This window comes from Homo sapiens, chromosome 6, assembly GCF_000001405.40.
Source record: "Homo sapiens chromosome 6, GRCh38.p14 Primary Assembly".
Taxonomy (NCBI): Eukaryota; Metazoa; Chordata; class Mammalia; order Primates; family Hominidae; genus Homo; species Homo sapiens.
In genome coordinates this window covers 28,348,831-28,370,901 of record NC_000006.12, presented here as the reverse complement: position 1 = coordinate 28,370,901, position 22,071 = coordinate 28,348,831, and the positions used below count along the sequence as shown (strand labels likewise).

The 22,071-nt window shown below is 43.9% G+C and overlaps 2 protein-coding genes across 21 annotated transcripts in view, besides 4 other annotated features; one reads left to right on the top strand and one right to left on the bottom strand.

The window, feature by feature from the left end:
* Positions 1–1,729: 1,729 nt before the first annotated feature.
* Positions 1,730–21,024, bottom strand: ZKSCAN3 (zinc finger with KRAB and SCAN domains 3). Of its 10 annotated transcripts, NM_001242894.2 has the most exons (7): positions 20,835–20,955; positions 20,514–20,630; positions 10,914–11,377; positions 9,431–9,578; positions 7,517–7,599; positions 7,087–7,210; positions 1,730–5,476 (listed from the first exon to the last, which is right to left on the bottom strand). In NM_001242894.2, the coding sequence occupies exons 3-7, from the start codon at positions 11,313–11,315 to the stop codon at positions 4,617–4,619; spliced, it is 1,617 nt and encodes a 538-aa protein (NP_001229823.1). In that variant the 5' UTR covers positions 11,316–11,377; positions 20,514–20,630; positions 20,835–20,955; the 3' UTR covers positions 1,730–4,616. The 10 variants fall into 10 exon arrangements, with proteins under 10 accessions (NP_001229823.1, XP_006715278.1, XP_047275331.1 ...); XM_006715215.3 differs by lacking the exon at positions 20,514–20,630 and having other exon boundaries at positions 20,938–21,024; XM_047419375.1 differs by lacking the exon at positions 20,514–20,630 and having other exon boundaries at positions 11,001–11,377; positions 20,938–21,024.
* Positions 13,584–14,488: an enhancer, noted in NCBI's record as "H3K27ac-H3K4me1 hESC enhancer chr6:28324191-28325095 (GRCh37/hg19 assembly coordinates)". NCBI's record gives its function as "activates a minimal SCP1, AML or CMV promoter by ChIP-STARR-seq in primed H9 embryonic stem cells {active_cell/tissue: H9 hESC(primed)}" and the evidence as "EXISTENCE:reporter gene assay evidence [ECO:0000049][PMID:30033119]".
* ZSCAN31 (zinc finger and SCAN domain containing 31) overlaps positions 14,631–22,071 on the top strand; it is a 31,535-nt gene continuing 24,094 nt past the window's right edge. For 7 of the 11 annotated variants that reach the window (XM_011514808.4, XM_047419257.1, XM_024446522.2 and 4 more), the window contains exon 1: positions 16,950–17,040. Coding sequence is in view for 1 of the 11 variants with exons in the window: in XM_024446521.2 (XP_024302289.1) it covers positions 17,008–17,040 (33 nt within the window). In the remaining 10 variants the exon portion in view is untranslated. Of the gene's footprint in view, positions 14,857–15,227; positions 15,580–16,697; positions 16,772–16,949; positions 17,041–17,419; positions 17,545–22,071 lie in introns of those variants that run through there. The other 4 variants (XM_024446521.2, NM_145909.3, NM_001135215.1 and 1 more) reach the window with 3 other exon arrangements.
* Positions 14,768–14,837: an enhancer, noted in NCBI's record as "active region_24355". NCBI's record gives its function as "activates an Ori minimal core promoter by ATAC-STARR-seq in GM12878 lymphoblastoid cells {active_cell/tissue: GM12878}" and the evidence as "EXISTENCE:reporter gene assay evidence [ECO:0000049][PMID:35858748]".
* Positions 16,315–16,814: an enhancer, noted in NCBI's record as "H3K4me1 hESC enhancer chr6:28321865-28322364 (GRCh37/hg19 assembly coordinates)". NCBI's record gives its function as "activates a minimal SCP1, AML or CMV promoter by ChIP-STARR-seq in primed H9 embryonic stem cells {active_cell/tissue: H9 hESC(primed)}" and the evidence as "EXISTENCE:reporter gene assay evidence [ECO:0000049][PMID:30033119]".
* Positions 20,661–21,020: an enhancer, noted in NCBI's record as "active region_24354". NCBI's record gives its function as "activates an Ori minimal core promoter by ATAC-STARR-seq in GM12878 lymphoblastoid cells {active_cell/tissue: GM12878}" and the evidence as "EXISTENCE:reporter gene assay evidence [ECO:0000049][PMID:35858748]".

Below are 22,071 nucleotides of genomic sequence, written 5' to 3'. Positions count from 1 at the left end.
AGCCTGTCATTATAAACTTATGGGGCCACTTTTGTAGATGTGGTCTGTTATTGACCAAATTATCATTGAGCGAAGTGTCATTATGCAGTGCATGACTGTATTTGATCAGAAAAGAAATAAGCCCTTTCTGGATTAAAACAGTTCAGCTCTCTATGTCTTTTTCTCACAAGATGGCATCAGAAGAAGCCATGTGACTGCAACACATATGGTGAAACATTTCGTTGCTGAGGAGCTGATGTTGTTCTGCAGATAAGCAGTTTATAGCTTACAGTTATACCTTAAATGGGGAGAGGTAGAAAGCCTCATTCCTCATCAGAGGAAACTGTCTCAGGACAGCCTCCATGGTAGATAGGGAGGTGTGTGAGAAATGGCATTGTATCAGCTTCTCACACAACCTACCATGCACTCATGTTCTAGGTGAGTTATAGGGCTTACATCAGCTGGTGTTAAATCCTGGTCTATGTGGCTCATATGAAGAGATGCAAGTTGCCAGGCAGCCATGGTGCAGTCATTCCTCTGAAGGAAGAACTATTAAGTCGGCACCAAAGTGAGAACAGAAATGGATAAAATACCTTGTAAGACAGAAGATGGTTTAGGTCTTAGGTTCTTTGGGGGCAGAGATAATGTCTTGTTCATCTTTGATTCCTTAGCACCTGACATAACACAATCAGGTTTGCTGAATGAATGGCTATAAACACATAATTTCTTTAGAAATAAGGGAAGACTTTTATGTCTGGAAATATGAATATGAATACTTTGGTCTCTGGCACTCAGTGTCAGGAGATTTTATGTTATGTTAATAATACAAAAGAACAAATAGAACCAGTCAATTTTCAGAATCATTCATTTATCAGGAACTCTGCTAGATGCTGAGGATACAATGGTGATCTAGTTGTTTATCTCTTGTCCCTCAGCCTGCCTCATACCAGCCGTTCCCTATCCTGATCTGTAAGCAGGGTAGGGAGGCTACAAACATTATTTCCCAGGCTCCTACTGCCAATTGGAAGAACTGACAAAAGGGGGAAGCACGGGTTAAAGGTTTTAATGCTTTACCGAAACTGTAATACTATACTGTAGTTTTAATGTTGAAACTATAGTATTGTGATGGCCAGTTTTATATGTCAACTTGACCAGGCCACAAGGTGCCCAGATATTTAGTCAAACATTATTCTGAGTGTTTGATTTTTGGATGTGATGAATCATTGCATCAGTAGACTAGGTAAGGCAGATTACCCTCCCTAATGTGGGTGGGCCCCATCTGATTAGTTGAAGGCAGGAAGAAAACAAAAAAGATAACGCTCCCTCAAAGGGTACTCCTCCTGCCCATCTTGAGGTGGGACATCAGTCTTTTCTGGCCTTCAGACTCCAACTAGAACACTGGCTCTTCCTGGGTCTTGAACCTGCTGGCCTTTGGACTGGAGCTCACACCACTGGCTCCGCTAGGTCTCTAGTTTGCAGATAGGAGAACCTAGGACTTCTCAGCCTCCATAATCATATGAACCAATTCTTTCCAATAAATAAATATATATATACAAACACATATATATTATGTATAATATACATAAACCAGTATTATAAATACAAATATATATGTATACACATACAGACATATACATACATATTTAGACACAGATCCTATTGGTTCTATTTCTCTGGAGAATCCTAATATATGTTCAGAAAGTTTGGAAATCATGCAATGCATTTTTCTCAATTTAAGAATCCACTCAAACAAAGTAACCATATGGTTTATTACTATAATACAAATAATATACATTAGGATTTGTTAGATTTGTGTCCCCTAGATCCCTGAAAACCTTGAAGGACCAAGCCTTGGAAACTAGCATAAAAACAGGGACTTGGATAGTTCTATAAAGGATTGTGGATAATGATTCAATTTCTACTAAACAAAATACATACAGCAGGAGATAATATATCACAATGCCCAAGTCATTAACTATCAAAGGTGACCAGAAAAGTCTTGTTATATTTGAATTCCAGAGTTTTTGACTGATATTATAAATATGGAAGAGATTGCTGGTGCCAGAAACCGAGTGAGAAATGTGAGTAGATGCAATAATGAAAGCATATTTCTACAATAAGTAGAAGTGATACTAACAAAAAAGGAACTGTCTTTCCACAGTTGTCACACTCATAAGGCTTCTCCCATTGAGGGTTCTCTGGTGTTTGATAAGACCTGAGCTGCGACTGAAGCCCTTGCTGCATTGTTCATTTTGTTAGTGCACTTCTCCTTATTGTAGGAATAAGGTGAAGCGCTTACACAAAAGTTTGCAGCAGAATAGTCATTCCGAAATACTTTTGTAGAAACAACTCCACTGAATGTATACATAATAAATACTACTTGTATAATGCTGACTAAAAATTTTCTCACTTGAATACACAGACTAAAATTTTGACTATCATGATGGGAAAAAAAAAAGATGGTCTACACAGTATGTTTAACAAAAAAGTAGATAGCCTGAGGAATTAAATTAATGGTTCAAACCGTCATCATGAAAAATTGAGATGCTGTTACCACACGTGATTTGGGAATCAATGTATAAGAAGACCAAGACAGTCAGACACTAATAATGGCGTTCTGAAACCATAAGTGATACTTGGGCCGGGCGCGGTGGCTCACGCCTGTAATCCCAGCATTTTGGGAGGCCGAGACAGGTGGATCACGAGGTCAGGAGATCGAGAGCATCCTGGCTAACACAGTGAAACCTCGTCTCATCATTCTCAGCAAACTATCGCCAAGAACAAAAAATCAAACACGGCATATTCTCACTCATAGGTGGGAATTGAATAAGGAGAACACTTGGACACAGGAAGGGGAACATCACACACTGGGGCCTGTTGTGGGGTGGGGGGAGGGAAAGCATTAGGAGATACACCCAATGTAAATGACGAGTTAATGGGTGCAGCACACCAACATGGCACATGTATACATATGTAACAAACCTGCACGTTGTGCACATGTACCCTAGAACTTAAAGTATAAAATAAAAAAAAAAAATAGCCCGGCGTGGAGGCGGACGCCTATAGTCCCAGCTACTCGGGAGGCTGAGGCAGGAGAATGGCAGGAACCTGGGAGGCGGAGCTTGCAGTGAGCCGAGATCGCGCCACTGCACTCCAGCCTGGGTGACAGAGAAGACTCCGTCTAAAAAAAAAAAAAAAAATTTGGTGTGAATCCATTGAGCTGGAGAAAGTATGAACTTAGCAGGAATAAGTTTTGATGCAGTTTACTATACAGTGTGTGTTGGGTGGTAGGGTGGGGCAGGATAGTATCTATTGTTTTAGGAGGCATTGGTTAGGCCCGAGAGAACTAAGATACTGAGCATTAGAATATTCATCATTTTATTCTGACTTGATGACTGATTTTCACACTGTCTGAATAGGAAAGTTTTTTCCTTAAAGAATAGCAACAGGAAAACATTAAAGAGTGAAATTTGGGCTGGGTATGGTGGCTCACGCCTGTAATTCCAGTACTTGAGAGGGTGAGGCAGGAGGATTGCCCAGGATTTCGAGACCAGCCTGGGCAACATAGTGAGACCTCATATTTACAAAAAAAAAAAAAAAAAAGCAATTCCACGGATGGCACACATTCGTAATGATTTAGTGATAAGCTTTTTAAGGCATTTGCACTAGAATAGAATTCCTAGTCTGGTAAAGAAATATGGATTCTTGGCCGGGCATGGTGGCTCATGCCTGTAATCCCAGCACTTTGGTAGGCTGAGGCAGGAGGATCATGAGGTTAGGAGATCGAGACCATCCTGGCTAACACGGTAAAATCCCGTCTCTACTAAAAACATAAAAAATTAGCCGGGCATGGTGGCACACACCTGTAATCCCAGCTACTCAGGAGGCTGAGGCAGGAGAATCGCTTGAACCCAGGAGGTGGAGGTTGCAGTGAGCCAAGATTGTGCCACTGCACTCCAGCCTGGGCGACAGAGCAAGACTACGTCTCCAAAAAAAAAATGGATTCTTTCAATCACAGTAACCCTGCTCTGCCTATGTACTTGGTAAGAAACACACTAGATTGAGTCACAATCTAGGTCAGAGAATTGGACACAAGCACAAATGGCCTTGGCGAGAAGTTCTTCAGAAACCTGGATAACATCAGATTTTCAGATCTATGAAGGTAATCTCACTGGTACATTCAATAAACATTTATTAGCACCTGCAGAAAAGGCACAGAGGGGGATATAAGACTTTATGAATCTGACCAACTGTGGAGGATTCATTACAGTCAAAAAGAATGGTCAGAGAAGCAGCCCCCAAATCACAACCATCCACCCAGTAGACATCACCAAGTGCTGGTTTAGGGCAAGTAGCCAGTCTAAACATCCATTTAATTCTAGTGGGAGAGAACAAACAGTTTCAGGTCTTACCTCTTCTAGACAACTCTCCCGTAGCCTCCTATCAAATATGTTTTGATTACAAACCCCTTCTAGAACTTAGAAGATAATTTGTCTAACCCAGTCTACATTTTCTAACACCTGATAATGTGTAGTGGTAAATAAAGCCCAGCCCACAATTTCTATAGTTGAGACTCCAGGGGGAGTGGCTTCAGATCAGTGACAAATGAGCACCAACTCTGGCATGTATGGCATGGGTCACTGTGATAGGATGTTTTTCCCTACATGGCTTCTCTGATGTTGAACAAGGTATGAAATTCGGGTGAAGCCTTTTCCACACGCATTACACTGATAGGGTTTCTCACCAGTGTGGATTTTTTGATGTTCAATGAGGCCTGTATTCTGAGTGAAACTTCTTTCACACTCATTACATTTATAAGACATGGGAGTTTCAACATTTTCCAACTGGCTTTCCATCCTACTTTTCCAGGCCTCTCCCTGCTCAGGTTCCTGAACATTTTTATCCCCAGTATGGATCCTCTGATGTCTCAGGAGATGTGAACTTCGCCTAAAGGCTTTGCCACACATACTGCACTGATACGGCTTCTCCCCAGTGTGGATTCTGTGATGTTCAAGGAGGCTGCAGCTCTGGCTGAAGGTCTTCCCACAGTCATCACACTCATAGGGCTTCTCCCCAGTGTGGGTTCTCTGATGCTTGATAAGGTCTGAGCTATGACTGAAGGCCTTACCACATTCTTCACACTCATATGGCTTCTCACCAGTGTGGACTCTCTGATGAATGACAAGGGCAGAGCTCCCAATGAAGGCTTTGCCACACTCTTCACATTCGTAGGGTTTCTCACCAGTGTGGATTCTCCTGTGTTTACTCAGGCCTGAGCTTTGAGCAAAACTCTTTCCACATTCATGGCAGATGTGCCGCCTCCCTCCTGTGGCATTTTTCTGCTTTCTTTGTAGCCTGCCCTCCTGTTCACCAGCTTCTGCACATGTAGGAATCTGGGCAATGTCTTCTCTCAGGTGGCACGATATCTTCCCATGCTCCTTTTCTGGAAGCTCCTCAGCTGGAGGCAAGTCCCTGCTCTTAGTCTGTTTTTCATCACCTGAAACAACAAATAACTGGCAACTGTGGCTTATGCCATGGAAGGAAAGCTCTGTGATGAGTACCAGGGAGGCAAGAATTACAGAGGTCTATAAATGCCTGGGATGAGGATTTAAGTGCTAGAATAAGGATGGGAATAAAAGGGGAGAACAGGAGTGCTGGGGAGGAGAGAGACCTAAGAATGGGAATGGGGCCATTGGAAAGGTACACACTGGGAGTGGAGGGAGTGGGTAGAAGACGGTGAGGATCCAGGACTATGCTGGGGATGTATGTGGTTGGATCCAGGACTATGCTGGGGATGTATGTGGTCGTTCTAAGTTCTAAGAATTGTAAGGCAGGGCCATGCACCTAGGATTAGATACTAAAACGGTTGAACAGAAAGTGACAGTAAATGGAGCATGTGGAAGGATTTCTGAAATACCTTTGAGAAACAGCGACTGGGAGGCTCAGGCTGGCAGATCACTTGAGGTCAGGAGTTCAAAACCAGCCTGGCCAACATGGTGAAACCCCATCTCTATTAAAAATACAAAAATTAGCCGGGCATGGTGGTGGGTGCCTATAATCCCAGCTACTCAGGAGGCTGAGGCAGGAGAATCACTTGAACATGAGAGGTAGAGGATGCAGTGAGCCAAGACTGCACCACTGCACTCCAGCCTGGGCGACAGAGTGAGACTCCATCTCAAAAACAAAAGAAATAAATAAACGAAACAGCGAAAGTGGAGACTCAGAAATTGGGCACTGATCAATGATACGATAAAGACAGTTGTCTCGGTTCATATCCCAGGCAGAGGCAGGGTCCCCAAACAGAACTGGATTCAGTGCTGTGAATTTTATGCCACCAATTAGCTACGTGGCCTCAGACAATCAGGCAATCTTCTCAGCCTCTGCACCTTCATCTCTGAGGTCAGGGTCTATAGTCAATGTCTAAGGACACTTCTCTCACACTCTATGGTCCCAAGGCCCATTTCCTGAAGAGGCCTCCCAGCTTTCCTCTTCGGTCAGGGATAGGAACAGGAGGACATCAACATTTAGTGGGCATCTCCTGTGAGCCAGACCTGTACTCGGGGTTGTATCGACTTCAACCCATTTAACTTAACTAGAATACTGGCACGGAGAGGAGAAAGCAAGGTCAGAAGGGATAAGCAGGCCAGGTGGAGTAGCTCATGCTCATGCCTGTAATTCCAGCATTTTGAGGGGACAAGGCAGGAAGATTGCTTGAGCCCTGGAGTCCGAGACCAGCCTAGGCAACATAGCAAAACTCTATCTCGACAAAAAATTAAAATTAAAAAATTAGCCAAGTGTGGTGGTACATGCCTTTAGTCCCAGCAGTTTGGGAGGCTGTGGTGAGAGGATCACTTTAGCCCAAAACATTGAGGCTGCAGTGAGCCATGATTGTGTCACTGCACTCTATCCTGAGTGACTGAGCAAGACCCTATCTCTCAAAAACAACAAAAAAAGAAAGGGTAAGGAGCTAGTCAGTTACAGGCTTTCAGAAATGGTGATTGTGAATCCAAACATAACAGGGCTCAACAGCTTCCAATAGCTCAACAGGTTCTAATATACAAAGAATGCCAAGAAACCTTAACAGAAATTAGTGTCCTTTAGTCTTACCCAGGGAGACCAGGCTGCCATGGTTCTCCTGCTTTTCATCTCTACAGAGATTCCCCTGAGATGAATCCTGCTGTGTCCATTCAGGGGTGAGGGTCAGGGCCACATCTTCCACTTTCAACAACCCCTAAAACAATAGGTAATCCCATTGAAGAAGGGGCTGACCAAAATGGTGGAGTGGGGAAGATCTGGGAAGCACCCCCAGGCCCCATTCCTGCCAACAGCTAGTAATAAACAGGAAAAGCCTCTTAAGTGGGCACCTAAATAAAGTTAATGATAAACAACCTCGAGATAGATGAGAAAATGCAGATCCCATTTGAGATCTGTATGGAGGATCTAGGATTGGGGTGGAGGGGAATGGGGAGTGAGGAGTCTTCACAGGAAGCTCAATAGTAGTGAGGGGCATTGGGGGAGGGATAGGGCTCCAGCTCACCTGGGACTCTGGAGTAAGCCTAGAAGCTACCACTTTATCTTCTCTGCAGCATCCTCCATGGGCAAGCACGGGGACCTGGAGAACTAAGAAGGAAAGAAGCTCTGGATGAGATGTACCCTGGCATTCAGCCTCCCTGCCCTGTGCAATCTAAGTTAAATAACTGGATTAATAGATTCCTGTCTCACTTGATTGAGCCCAGGAGTCTGAAGCTGCAATGAGCTGTGATTGAGCCACTGCACTCCAGCCTGGGCAACAAAGTAAGACCCTGTCTCTCTAAATAAATAAATTCCTGCCAAACAAGTTTATACAGAGTGTGCTCCTTTCCAAAATTCCTGGTCCCTACCAGCTCCAATCCTATGGCTAAAGATAACTGTTGTGCTCTGCAGATACACGAAAACAATGCAAAAAGGCAGGATCCTTGTGAGCAGTTGTGAAATAAAAAGAACATAAAAAACAAAAAAGCTTTCCATCTGAAGATCCTTTGAATTTTGCTAGAGATAGGAGGAAAAATCGGATTTTGGGTGAGTATGTCCTTAGTAGCCGTTAGGGTGCTTTTTGCTTTGGATTTGAAAAGCTAAAAGGAGTCAGACAAAGCTGGGCTATGAAAGGCAAAGTAAGGGTCTGGCTTTATACAACGTATGGAAATTCAAGAGAGAGAAAAGTAAAGAGCTTCAGGTTTCCTTATTATTCCTTATATAACTTCAGGAAGCATATATATATTCCTCATATATTCCTTATATATTCCTTATATAACTTCAGGAAGCATATATATTCCTCATGTATTCCTTATATAACTTCAGGAAGCAAATTTTTAAAGGGGCACAAAACAGGTGGTTTAGGCTAGAACCTCTGTTTAAAAATAAAGATCGCATGTTGGCTAGAACATCCCAGTGATGTATATCTTGGGAACTTGTACATGTGTTTAAGACACATGAAAGGACATCTCAGAACACATACAGCCATTTCCTATGCAGTGAATTTCATATTGTTTTAATAACAGACCCAGGATTTAGAAGATTTATACCCTTTAATTTGCAATAGTCCTATAATTTATGAGATTGGCTGGCTGGCTTTACAGATTCTGTTTACTTTCTGCATAAGACTTCCCACTGTCATACGAATTGTATTATTAATGTGTTTATTTACCATCTTCCTCACTTAAATGTAAGCTCCACTGGGACAAGAACAGTTTCACTCACAGTTCCATTCCCAGAGCTAACTGGCCACCACACTGGAGGCCTCCATAATTACAAGTTAAAGAAGAACAAAGACAAGTAGCTGGTATACACAAGTGTGGTAGCTTACACCTATAATCCCAGCACCTTGGGAGGCCCAGGCAGGAGGATCACTTGAGCCCAAGAGTTTGAGACCAGCCTGGGAAACATGGTGAGACCTCAAATCCACAAAAAAGTTTTTAAAACCTAGCCAGGCGTGGTGGTGCACACCTGTAGTCCCAGCTACTCAGGAGGCTGAGTTGAGAGGATCGCTTGAGCCCAGGAAGTGGAGGCTGCAGTGAGCGATCCAGAGGATCGCTTGAGCCCAGGAAGTGGAGGCTGCTTGAGCCCAGGAAGTGGAGTGCCACTGCACTCCAGCCTGGGTGAAACAACAAGACCCTGTCTCAAGAAAACAAAAACCAATACAAGAAAAAAAAAAACCAATACAACAAAACAAAACCCAAGCAAGAACCAATTCTTTCCAAACCTAAGTTTTACTAATATCTTATTTACTATGTCCAGTCTTGGTTGAAAAAGCTTTCCATCATTATGTTGGAAATACTCCTTTTAGTCTCAGTCTTAAATGAGAGTTGATCTGTGATGGGCACATAAGCCCCCTATCAATGAATTTTGTTGGCTATCCTTAAATGAAATTGGATGAAGTCTGCAGAATTCATACTGTCTAGAAAATAATCCTTACCTCTATCTTGTAAAGGCTGGGATCCCACAGATTCATGCTTGAGCAGAGCCTTCATTAGCTGAAATTGGCTACTTTGTGACCCTGGGGCTGGTGTCAATAGTGCCATCTTGCAACAGAGCAGTTCTTGCCCCTGGTCAACACCTGAAACCTAGAAATCATTTGTTCTTATTTTCATGTTTTCATCAAACACTTCCATAGAACTACCTAGGTGGCTGGCACTATTTCCAAGAGCATTATAAATGTTAACTCATTTAACGCAGAAAACAACAATCTTATAAGGGAGGTATTATTATTATACCCATTTTACTGATAGGGAAATTAAGGCACAGCCAGTTTAAATAGCTAATCAGTGGCAATGCTAGGATGGGAGCTCAGGTAGAATGATGCCAGAGCACACGTTCTTATCATTACTCTATGCTCCTTCATATATACATTTGTGCTTTTATGAAAATCCATTGGAAACTGGTGCAAAATTCTCAGAGAATATTAATACCTTTTATTATCTGAAAAGGGGATTACAATCTCTAGTTTATGGAGTTTGGGGGACCCAAACAACATCACAGTACGTGAAATCACCTAACATGGCCTGGCATACGATATGTATGCAGGTTTCCTTCCAGACATTTATAGTTATTATAAAATTACAGTTTTCAAGTTACTTTCTCATGTGCAGCTCAGAATTTCCCACATCCTTTATAAAGAATGAAGCTAAGAGACTCGCACTGACTTTCCACTGTTACAGGCCTTGGGTGCAACAGACCCAAGTCAAGAACCCTGGTATCCAGCTCACCATTTAGAAGGCTCTGGCCACACAGGTCCTCTGAGGGTGTGTGCACAGGGACACAGGATGATGCAAAGAGGACACAGTCTCATAAAACAGGGAAGAACATGGAGGTAAAAGTCGGCCCATTTTCTACCAGAGGTTCATAACCAGTGGTCCATGAACTCCTTCCCACGTAGTCCATGAACTTGAACAGGACAAAAGCTAATCTTATTTTTAACTAGTCTTTAAGAGAAAGTTAGCATTTCCTTCCAATTATGAATGGAAGCAACAAATCAATGTAGCATAAGCAGTACCCACGACTTTGTCACCAATAGAACCTGCAGATGTTTTTACATCACATTACAACCAAGCAAAGAGATACTTATCACTGCTTTGTAATTGCCAGTTATAAGCCCTGTCCGTAGGTTTTATTATTTAGTGTACTAATAAAAAAAAGTATGACTTTAATACAAAGTTAATACTTTGCAAACTGTATGTTGATATGACTGCGTTCTTTTGTAATCCTTTATGGTTTATGTATTTTAAAAAAAAAATTATTCTGAGAAGGAGTCCAGGGACTTCACCTTACTGCCAAGGAGGTTCACGGTACAAAAAAGAGATGAAGAACTCCTGGATGTTAAAGGAATGCCCCTCACTCTGATCTGGGATTTCAGGAGGAAACAGGCCACAGCGCTCAGATACTAAACCTGTTCTTTCTACCTGCGGCGCCGGCTCATCCAGCTGCCTCTCCAAATACTCCAATAGCACCACCACCTCCTCCCCGCTCTCTGGATGCTGCTCCCGCACCCAGCTCTGCAGATTCCCCGGCAGGATGGTCAGGAACTGCTCCAGCACCAGCAGCTCCAGGATCTGCTCCTTGCTGTGCATCTCAGGCTGCAGCCACTGTCGGCAGAGCTCTCGGAGCCGACTCAGCGCCTCGCGGGGGCCTGCAGCCTCCGGGTAGCGGAAGCCTCGGAAGCGCTCGCGGGAGCCCTCAGAACCCAGATCTGGGCTACTGGGAAAACCGGCTTCTTCTTCCTCCACCTTTATGACCAGAAGCTCCATCTGGTCTTCTGTAGACTGGGCATCCAGGGCTGTGCTTTCACTTAATTCTCTAGCCATCCTAGGCCAAGGCAGTACTCAGGCCTCACTCTAGCTTCCAGCGCTATTTCTGCAGAAGATCCCTGAAAGGTGGGAAATCATTATTAACCAGTAAACTTGCAAGTAGTCCCTTCTCTCCTGCCCAGGAGCCCAGAGACATCTCTGGGGAACTGCTGCAGAAATTTCTCCATGTTCAGTGGTTCTGCAGCTTAATCCTCTACACCACCCCAAACCTGAATCCCATAGTAAGGTTCCCAAAGGATGTCCTGGAGTGATCCTGGACACCCCCAAGCCCCTGACTAATCAGGAAAAAAACTGAAATTGGTGAGGATCCAGGGCACTTCCTGGACTCTCTAGGAAGCTCCTCTCAGTGACTTGCTCAGAGTTATCCCATTACCAACCAGGTCTGTGGTTGTCTAAATTCTAAGATGACCCTAATGATTTCCTGCCCTAATCCTCAGGACTTTCAATATGAGATAGCAAGTCCAGACTGACTGGACTGATCCCAAAGAGCTGAATTCTACTGACAACCTCAATGACCTCATAAGTAGATTCCTCTCAGAGCCTCCAGATAATAGCCCAGCCCTACCAACACCTTGGCTTTGGCCTGGGAAGACCCTAATATTGAACTCAGCTGAGCCTGCCTGGCCTTCTGACCTATAGAACTGGAACAAATAAGCTGATTTTTTTTTTTTTTTTTTTTTTTTTCTTATTTGTTTGTTTTGAGACAGAGTCTTGCCCTGTCACCCAGACTGGAGTGCAGTGGCATGATCTCGGCTTGCTGCAACCTCCACCTCCCATGTTCAAAAGATTCTTCTGCCTCAGCCTCCCAAGAAGCTGGGATTATAGGTGTGCACCACCATGCCCAGCTAATTTTTGTATTTTTAGTAGAGCTGGGGTTTCACCATGTTGGCCAGGCTGATCTCGAACTCCTGACCTCAAAAGATCTGCCTCGGCCTCCCAAAGTGCTGGGATTAAACACATGAGCCACTGCGCGCAGCCCAGATTTTGTTTTAAGCTGATAAATTTGAGGTAAATGTTATACAGCAATAGAAAACTAATACAGTTGATTCTATATCTGTGGGTTCTGCATTGAGAGATTCAACCAACCACAGCTGGAAAATATCTGGGAAAAAAAAATAACAAAAACAACAATTAAAAAATACAAATAAAAATACAATATAAAAAGTGTTTACAAAACATTTACATTGTATTTGGTTTATAAGTAATCTAGAGATGATTTAAAGTGTACAAGAGAAGTTGAGCCTGGTGCCGCACTACTGCAGTCCCAGCTACTCAGGAGGAAGAGGCAGGAGGATCACCTGAGCCCAGGAGTTCAAGGATGCAGTAAGCTATGATTGTGCCTCTGTACTCCAGCCTAGGCAACAGTGCAGAGACTCCATCTCTTAAAAAAAACATACAGGAGGATGTGTGTAGGTTATAGGAAAATACTATATGCCATTTTATGTAAGACTTGAGCATCCACAAATTTTGGTATCATTGGGGATCCCGGAATGAATCCCCCACAGATAGTGAAGGATGGCTGTACCAGGTCTTATCTGTGGTCAAGGTACTGTAGTAAGGGGAAGAAGAAAGAAAAGACAGAAGGCCCTGGACCAAAAGAAATAGAACTGAATTAAACCTTGGCTGCCTGCTAGTGAGACCCTCAATTATATCTGAAGTGAGGCTTGCCCAAAAAACTGGCATAACATTCACATTAAAATTCAGCTGAAAGAAGGATTTCTGCAGGCTCTTCGGATCTTTGGGCTGAAGGCCCTTCAGTTTCTCTCAGAAACATCAAGGCAGCCGAAAACATCACCAAGCCCTTCCCCTGGAGAGAGCATAGGCTGCCCCTGGTCTTTGCCACCTCCTCAATCTGCCACTTTCTTTCTTCCCCTTCAAGACTGAACTTCTTGAAAGAAAGTCCTTAGTCCCTGATTCTAGTCCTCACCTCCCACTAAGCCTTCCACACACTGTAGGCTGCAACTGCCAAGACCACTAAGATTTCGCATGCAGAAGGAACCAAAGGTGCTTCCCTCAATTCCCATTTTCCATGGCCTCTTCTCAGGCAACTGGGCTGAGGATACTGTCCACTTCCAAAAACTCACTTGTCCTTACTTCAAGGATCTTGCTTTCTCCTGCTTTCCTCCTTCCTGGTTCTTCTCAGCTCCCATCATAATCTGGTTAAGTGTTCTGAAGCCAGGTTTCCTGAGGTCGTCAAAATCCTGGCTTTACTACCTACTAGCTCTGTGCCTCCCTCTCCTTATCTGTAATAGGGATAGTGATAGCAGATAGGGCCATTGTAAGCATTAAGTAAGTGAGTGTATAAAACTCTTAGAACAGTGCCTGGTGTGTGGTTGTAAGGAACATGGCTGTGCTGCAGCGAAGCAGGCATAGGCCGAGGTAAACATCCTGCATGACTCAGCAGGATTGGAGCGCACGCACACAATTCCGTGCATTATATAATCACAGTTATGTAGCCATAATCTGGGGAGGCTCATCACCTGGCTCTAAGATACTACTGTTTGTGAGGTGTATAAATGTGGCACTGACACTGTGAAAGAGCTGCTGAGTAAAGCCATGTCCCATCTACCTGCTGTCTCTCGAGTGTTCTTCCAGCTCCCTGCCCCCCATCCACCCACTCCCCTTGGACCTCAGCTGGGGCTCTAACCTGACATTTGGCATAGTGAGCAAGATGAGGTGAGTGGGTCTTCAGCCCCCAGGCTCCCGGAGCGGCTATGCAGCCACAGCATGAGCTGTGGCACCCAGTGGCAGCCGTGCTGCAAGGATGGGCTCTGGTGGAAACATGGGCGGCAGTGGACAGGCCCTCCACGAGTGTGGAGAAGGTGCTGAAGCACCTGGAAATGCACAGGACCGAGAAGGAGTGTGCCTTTGCCAACAGAGTCAGATGGGCATTTGTGACTGTGCTGCTGGAAGGGCATGCCCAGTCCCTGCTGGACGCAGTGCAGGGAGGAGGACGAACCTCCATTACAGGCTCACCCAGTGGTCTGCCAGAAAATAGAGCATGAACAGCCACTGGGCCCCAAGGGTGGGCCTAGAGACCCCCTACCATAGTGAAGCACACTTCTTATAGTGCTTGTACCCCCCACTGAGTTGTGGGAGTTAGGCAAGCAGTGCCAGCAGCATTTGGGGGAGACTCCCTGCCTGAATTCTGTCTCTCCGGGACAAAGGAGCTGATCCATTTCCTGCTCCCCCTCTGAGATGGAAAAGCTGGCTTCTTTAATTACAGTGTGGTCTGATGCCGGTGAAATACCAGAAACTGTCAGTAGATGGCAGTTGTATATAGACTTAGTGCAAGTCATTCGGGAAAAGGACATTGCTGGGCAACTAGGTCCCGCCGGAGCGTTCCAGCTCAAAGATTACCTGCTGCAGTCAGGCAGAAATGTAAAGTCTTTCCTGTTTGATTGGGAACTGACCCAGGTGCCAGGCTTGGGGGGACACCGGACAACCAAAGGCAATATGTGGACTCGGCAAGCCACTGGTCCCTAAACCTGAATAAGTTTCCGGGCAGAGCTGCATTTATTGACGGTTATGAAAGCTGGTCAGTGAAAGTGAAACCTGTATCTTTGGACCTCGGCATCGGCCGCTTAGCTCCCTGCTTATGCACTGTGGATGTCTCTCCCATGCCTGAGGACAGGCTGTGGGTGGATGTTTTGCACGGCTTGGCAGCTGTGCCGTCTATCATGGATTTGATAGGCCACTTGACAACAGAACTGGGATGGTGCCACTGTGTGGTGGACTTGGCCAATGCATTCCTCTTAATCGACATTGCTCCAGAGAGCCAGGAACACTTTGCCTTCGTGGGAGGGTGACAATGGACTTTCACAGTATTGCTGCAGGGATATATGCATAGCCCCAACATATGTCATGATCTTATTAATGATGTTATATTAACCTCTGATTCTCTTGCAGATTTAGAAGCAGCAACGCAGCCTCTTGCCTGGAATTGGGATGATGCGGCTGAAACCACCTTCCTGGCAGCCAAACAGGCTATTCAGCAGGCACAAGCCCTATGGGTAGCTGATCGGGGCACCCATTTAAACTTGATGTGCATGTGACCAGATAGTTTTGACTGGGGCTTATGGCATCACACAGAGCTCTTTAGAATGCCAGTAGACTTTTGGTCCCAACTTTGGAAGGGAGCTGAGCTCCAGTATTCCTCGACAGAGAAGCAGTTACTAACTGCATATGCTGCCCTTTAGACTCGTGACAGCCTGGCAGGATGGGCTACAGTCGTCGCGCGCATGACTTACCCAATAGCAGGGTGGGTATGCTCATGGGTAACAACCCACACACTGGGATGGCACAGACATCCACTTTTGTAAAGTGGGGTGCTTAAGCCTACTTGGAACAGCAAAGTATGCTAACTCAAGTCCCTTAGAAGCACAATTACAGGAAGTCTTAGGACCTACAGTCCTAATGCAAGATAAGGTTATGGGACCTGAGGCACCCCTAGATCCTGAGCCTTCACCTTTTAAGGAAGGGCATTCCCGCATTCCCAATGGGGCATGGTACACAGATAGGTCTAGCCAGGGTGCTACTGCTACCTGGACTGCTGTTGCAGCCCAGCCTAGTACCAACACCCTATGGTTTGATACCAGGTGTGGACAAAGTAGCTAATAAACTGAACTCAGGGCAATGTAAATGGTGATCACCAAGAAGGTGACACGTAATCTGCACTGATAGCTGGGCAGTTTATCAAGGCTTAACCTTGTGGCTAACTACCTAGAAGTTACAGAAGTGGCTAGTCACCGACCCATGTAGGGCCAGGCCATGTGGCCAGATCTATGAGAGAAAGGATGACTTCCTCCAACCAGGTATGGGGACAAACAGTAACCTGTTGTTGCCCGCCCCAACACCCTAAAGGTAGGGAAGCAAAAACCCTGGATTAATATATAAAGCAACATTGGGGTAACATCACCATGTAGTGATTGCTCACTATAACCTGAAATTATTGCTCCCTGTATTACTGTGGCCCAAGTGCCCAGAGCTTATGTGTCAGGCTTATGTGTCAAGCCTCTATGTATACATTGGGCCTGTGTGCCCAGAGCCTATGTGTCAGACTTATGTGTCAAGCCTGTGTGTATCAGCCCTGGGTGCCCAAAGTTTATATGTCAGGCCTGTGTGCCAAACCTATATATTGGGCCTGTGTACCCAAAAACCTATGTCTCCCTCGGCCAAGGGGGTGGAGTGTAAGGTAAATGGATGTGCTTTGGTCAAGAATAGGCCGAGGCAGATATGCAGGCCAGCGTGACTCAGCGAGTTTGGAACGCAGGCGCACCACTCCACTTGTTATATAACCTGTTTGTGTAAGCTCATACTTGGCTTACAGCCACTATTGTCTGTAAATGGTATAATTGCCCTGCTGACACTGTACATAGGACTTGTGCCCAGAGAGAGAGAGAAAAACTGCTGACCCTGTAAGAGAGAACTGGCCATCTTGCAGACAGACAGAGGTGAGCCAGGAATTAACAAGCATGCCAAGGAGTACAGCTGTAAGTGTGGGAGCGGCAGGAGCCACAGAGCCGTTTGCTGAGAAGGGCTGCGGTCGGAGGAGGCAGCCGAGACAGAGGCAGACAGTGTGAGAGCTGCAGCAGCTGCTGCTGAATAAAATCATATTTTACCTGCCTACAGCCCCGAGTGTTCTTTCAACTACCTGCCACCCATCCAACAACTCCCCTCGGACCTCAGTATGGGCTGGAACCTGACACTTGGCATGACAGTGGTAAGTACCATATACATGTTGGCTAATAGTATAATTCACTGGTCTTTCTTTTTTTAAATAAGAGTAGGCCTGGTGGTTCTGTTCTTGACCTTTTCTTTTCTCTATCCACAGTCTTCCCCAGAACTATCTTTAATCACTCGCAAGGTTTTAACTTCTATTTCTAGGCTGTAGACTCCTGATCCCTATCCTGAGCTGCCTCCCAGACGGTCCTATATGGAAATCTTGCAAACAAATCCAATTCAATATGCCCCAAATCAAAGTGATTTTCTTGCTTCCTAATCTACTCCTTCCTCAGTATGGTATTATCTAGAAACAACAGCACCAGCCATCAGGTTTCGTCAGAGTCATCACTTTGTAATGGATGATTTCTGTATTTTAGGAGGGAAAAGTAAGATATTCTGAAAGAGAGCCTATCCCAGAAGCCATGAGACCTGGGCCTGATCTAAGAGGGAAGGGAAACCTGAGATTCCTGTGAACCAGCTGGGACTAGATTTTAAACTAGAAGTGAGTGACTGCAAAATTATTTGACTGGACTCGGATGTCAGTAAGTCCCTCTTTACTCAGTGGAATGGAGAGGCTAGAAAATGTAAGGCTGGGCTGGGCGCAGTGGCTCACGCCTGTAATCCCAACACTTTGGGAGGCTGAGGTGGGCACATCATGAGGTCAAGAGATCGAGACCATCCTGGCCAACATGGTGAAACCCCGTCTCTACTAAAAATACAAAAATTAGCTGGGCGTGATGGCATGCGCCTATAGTCTCAGCTACTTGGGAGGCTGAGGCAGGAGAATCGCTTGAACCCGGAAGGCGGAGGTTGCAATGAGCCAAGATCGCACCACTGCACCTGCACTCCAGCCTGGCAACAGAGCAAGACTCTGCCTCAAAAAAAAAAAAAAAAAGAAAAAGAAAAGAAAAGAAATGTAAGGCTGGTAGAGGTTACAAAGGGAAAAACAATTCCAAGTCCGTGTCTTCCTGAACCTCTATTCCTCAGTCCAACTCTCTACAGTTCAAAGGATGGTAGGGAATAGAAGGAAATTAGGAAACTGAGAGAAGCCATTGATTGTCACAAATCAAAAGTACCAGAAAATACTTCCTCCTAATAAGCTGCCACAAGAGATCTGGGGTACTCCTACATGAGCTAATAATACCAAAATAAGTGAGCCTAAATCTAATCTAGTCTTTAGATCCAAATACCAGTGTACAGGTGAAATATAGGAGCAAATTACATTAAAGGCTTTCAAACTTTGTTACATATTAGAATCACTGGGGAGCTTTTAAAACATCCTAATGCCTTGGGTACAATCAAGATCAATCAGCCTGGGTGCAGTGGCTCACACCTGTAATCCCAGCACTTTGGGAGGCTGAGGCAGATTTCCTGGGGTCAGGAGTTCAAGAACAGCCTGGCCCATATGACGAAACCCTGTCTCTACTGAAAATACAAAAATTAGCTGGGTGTGGTGGTACACACCTGTAATCCCAGCTACTTGGGAGGCTGTTGCATGAGAATCACTTGAGCCTGGGAGATGGAGATTGCAATGAAAAAAAAATCAATTAAATCACTCTCTGGGGGTGGGACTTTTAATACATCAATAACTTTTAAAACTTTCTAGGTCATTCTGATGTGCAGCTGAGTTTGAGATCTAATAAGTTAAAGATACTAAAAAGAAGCAATCGACCAAATCCAGAATGTGAGGCATTTTATAAAACAGAAGGTTCAAGTTCCTCAACAAATAAATGGCATTTTTACCAAAAGGAGTGGGAGGGAATGGGAACTGTCATAGATTAGAAGACTGAACAGACTTATCAAATAAATGCAAATGGTGAACCATATTCGGACCCCACTGAAAACAACAACTGTAAAAAGACTGTAAAAAAAAAAAACTCTAGAAATATTTGAGACAATTATTTGAAAATCAAGATAATGATATCAAGGAATTATTGTCAATTTTTTTGCGTGTGATCATGATACTATGATTATATTAAGATAAAAGTCCCTGTATATAAGAAATTGACACTGAAGTACTTGTACTTGTGAGTGAACTAAAATGTTTCCATCTGCAATTTGCTATAAAATGAAAGAGAAGAGAGGGACGAAATGAGGAAAAAAAAGAGATAAAGAGGGGGAGAGGGAGGGAAGGAAAGGAAGACAAAGAAAGGAGGGAGAGGGAAAGAAAGGAGAGAGGGAAAGAGGGAGGAAGTAAAAGGGAAGGAGGGAGACAAAAGGGAAGGAGGAGGAGAAGGGAAGGAAAGAGAGTGGAAAGGAGGGAAAAGAAGAATGAAAGAAAATGACCAAAAGATGATGGCTGAAGCTGAGTCATGGTTATATTGGTGTTCATTGTAACATTCTCTCTACAATTAAATGTGTTTAAATTTCTCTCCAAAATTTTAGAAAATTAAACAATGTCCTAACTTCTTTCCTTCCTGAATAATACAGCCAAAAAGCATTAAGGTAGGGTCAAGGAAGGCGAGAGAGAGCCACAGCCCAACCCAGAGTGAATCTGGAGCCCAAGTGGAATGAGGAGGGTGTCCACGGTGGGGAAGGGAGGAAGTCTATGGCAGGAAAACAACACTGATACATTTATATCATTTATTCCACAAACTCCATTTAGGTTTCACTACCTGGCCCCTACTTGGATCTGAGCCAAACTGATCACAGTGGGAAGGCACAAGATTGGGAAATTGGTTGCCAACACAAAGTATTTATCAAATCAGTAAATATACTGAAGATAAGGAAAGGAAAGTTTCTCATTAACAGAAAAGAGTTACAAGTCTATGAAAGAGCTAACCCTGTAAAAGTTGGGTTGAAATGAAGGGTGTTAGTATGAAGCCAGTTTCAGGCTAGGGCGTTCCTGGAAGCTCGAAAACTGGTGGATCTCCAGCACTAAGCAGGACATCAGATTTTTGCAAAAACCAGGGGTCCTAGTCCTTTTTCACTATTAAAAACTTCTATTGTTCCTCCTAATCTCCAGCCAAGGAAAAGGTACCCCCGAGTCTTAAAGCCTTTGAGAGTTTGAGTATCACAACGTCCAACACAAACCAGTTTTGGTCTTTGCTTTGGGATAGGCTCTTTTTCAGAGTATCTTATTTTTCCCTCCTAAAATATAGAAATCATCCATTACAAAGTGAATTGATGAATGACAGTAAAATTGAAAGCAACCGTACAAAAGCCAGTCACTAATGTGTCATCATAGTTATAAATAATAATAGTACCACTAATAAAAGCAAATCTTTAAATCATGCTTACTCTGCACCTTACCCATACGAATGCATTCAATCCTCACAACAACCCAGTGAGTTAGGGAATATTATCCCCATTTTACAAAATAGTAAAATGAGGCAGAGAGAGAGCTTAGGAACTAGTGAAAAGTCACACAGCCAGTAAGTGGCAGAGGCAGGATTTGAACCAGGTAATCTGACTCCAACGTTCTGGCTCTTGGCCAGTACCACAGAATAATTTAAAGACCTTGAAACTGACCTTGTTACCAGGCAGTGCAAAAATGTAACGGCTCCCATTCTCGAGGCTTGTCTATGTGACCCATGCATCCCGTCTCCAAATACCCTCAAGAACCGACCCGGACACTCGGTAACGGCCCTAAACAAGGGACACCCATATTGGGCTCTACGCAGGAACGCCGAGGACCACTTCATTCCGCCGCAGAGCGCCCTTCCCTCCCCCACGGCTTCTCGCAGGGGTCTCCCTCCTTGGGAGCCGAGGCTGCAGGAACTGGGGAGGGAAGGGCCTCTCTCCACAAACACACACACACACACACACACACACATACTCCTGCAAACGCACCTCTACCCGGGGACAAAAGAACTGCAGGACCGACAGGAGGAGAGCCGCGGGATGAGATTTAACCCCACAGTGGAAGGCCGACGCCGATTCACCCCATACTCACAAAGTGCTTGAAACTAGCAAACCACCCGCAGGGCGGGGCACAGAAGCCACTTCCGGGCCTCTCTAGCCACCTCCCTGACAGACTCTGTCGTTTGCTAGCTCGGCACCTTGTGTCCCCTCCCCTTTTGCTATTAAAGAGGCTTTTAAATTTTTATTTTTCCAGCTATAACTAAGGGAGAAAGGCAAGGTGCAGAATTATTTTCATAATTTGCTATATTTGCGAATAGAAGAGAGTAAAAAGAATCTAAATTATGTGTGCGTGTGTGGCACAAAGAAGCCCTGGAAAAATCGGAAAATTAATAATGGTGGTTACCTACGAGAGGTGAACGGTCAGAAACTGAGTGAAAACGGGGACAAGAGTGAGAAGGAAAGTGTTAGGGTGCATGTTTTAAATGTACTTTTAATTTTAGAGTTGATTGCATTGCCTAATTAGAATATGAATTCTAAATACATAAATTTTAAGGAACATGCTGCGTGGTTTACATAAAAAATCCAAGATAATCTAACACTCAAATTATGATGATTAATAAGAGAGTTTAGCAAGTTGGCTGGACTTTTTAAAATTCATGTTCACAATCACATTCTCCATCAAAATTATAAAAATAGAATTTTTAAAAGACATCTATCACAGAAGCAAATACTTACAAAAGATACCTGAATGGAAACATTAGTAACTTTATTCATTAGGGATAAGTAGTTGAAATATATACCTATATATATGAGACATATATATACACCTATATATATGAGACATATATATACACCTATATATATGAGACATATATATACACCTATATATATGAGACATATATATACACCTATATATGAGACATATATATACACCTATGTATATGAGACATGTATATACACCTATGTATATGAGACATGTATATACACCTATGTATATGAGACATGTATATACACCTATGTATATGAGACATGTATATACACCTATGTATATGAGACATGTATATACACCTATGTATATGAGACATGTATATACACCTATGTATATGAGACATGTATATACACCTATGTATAAGACATGTATATACACCTATGTATATAAGACATGTGTATACACCTGTATATGAGACATGTATATACACCTATATATATGAGAACTCAATATCAT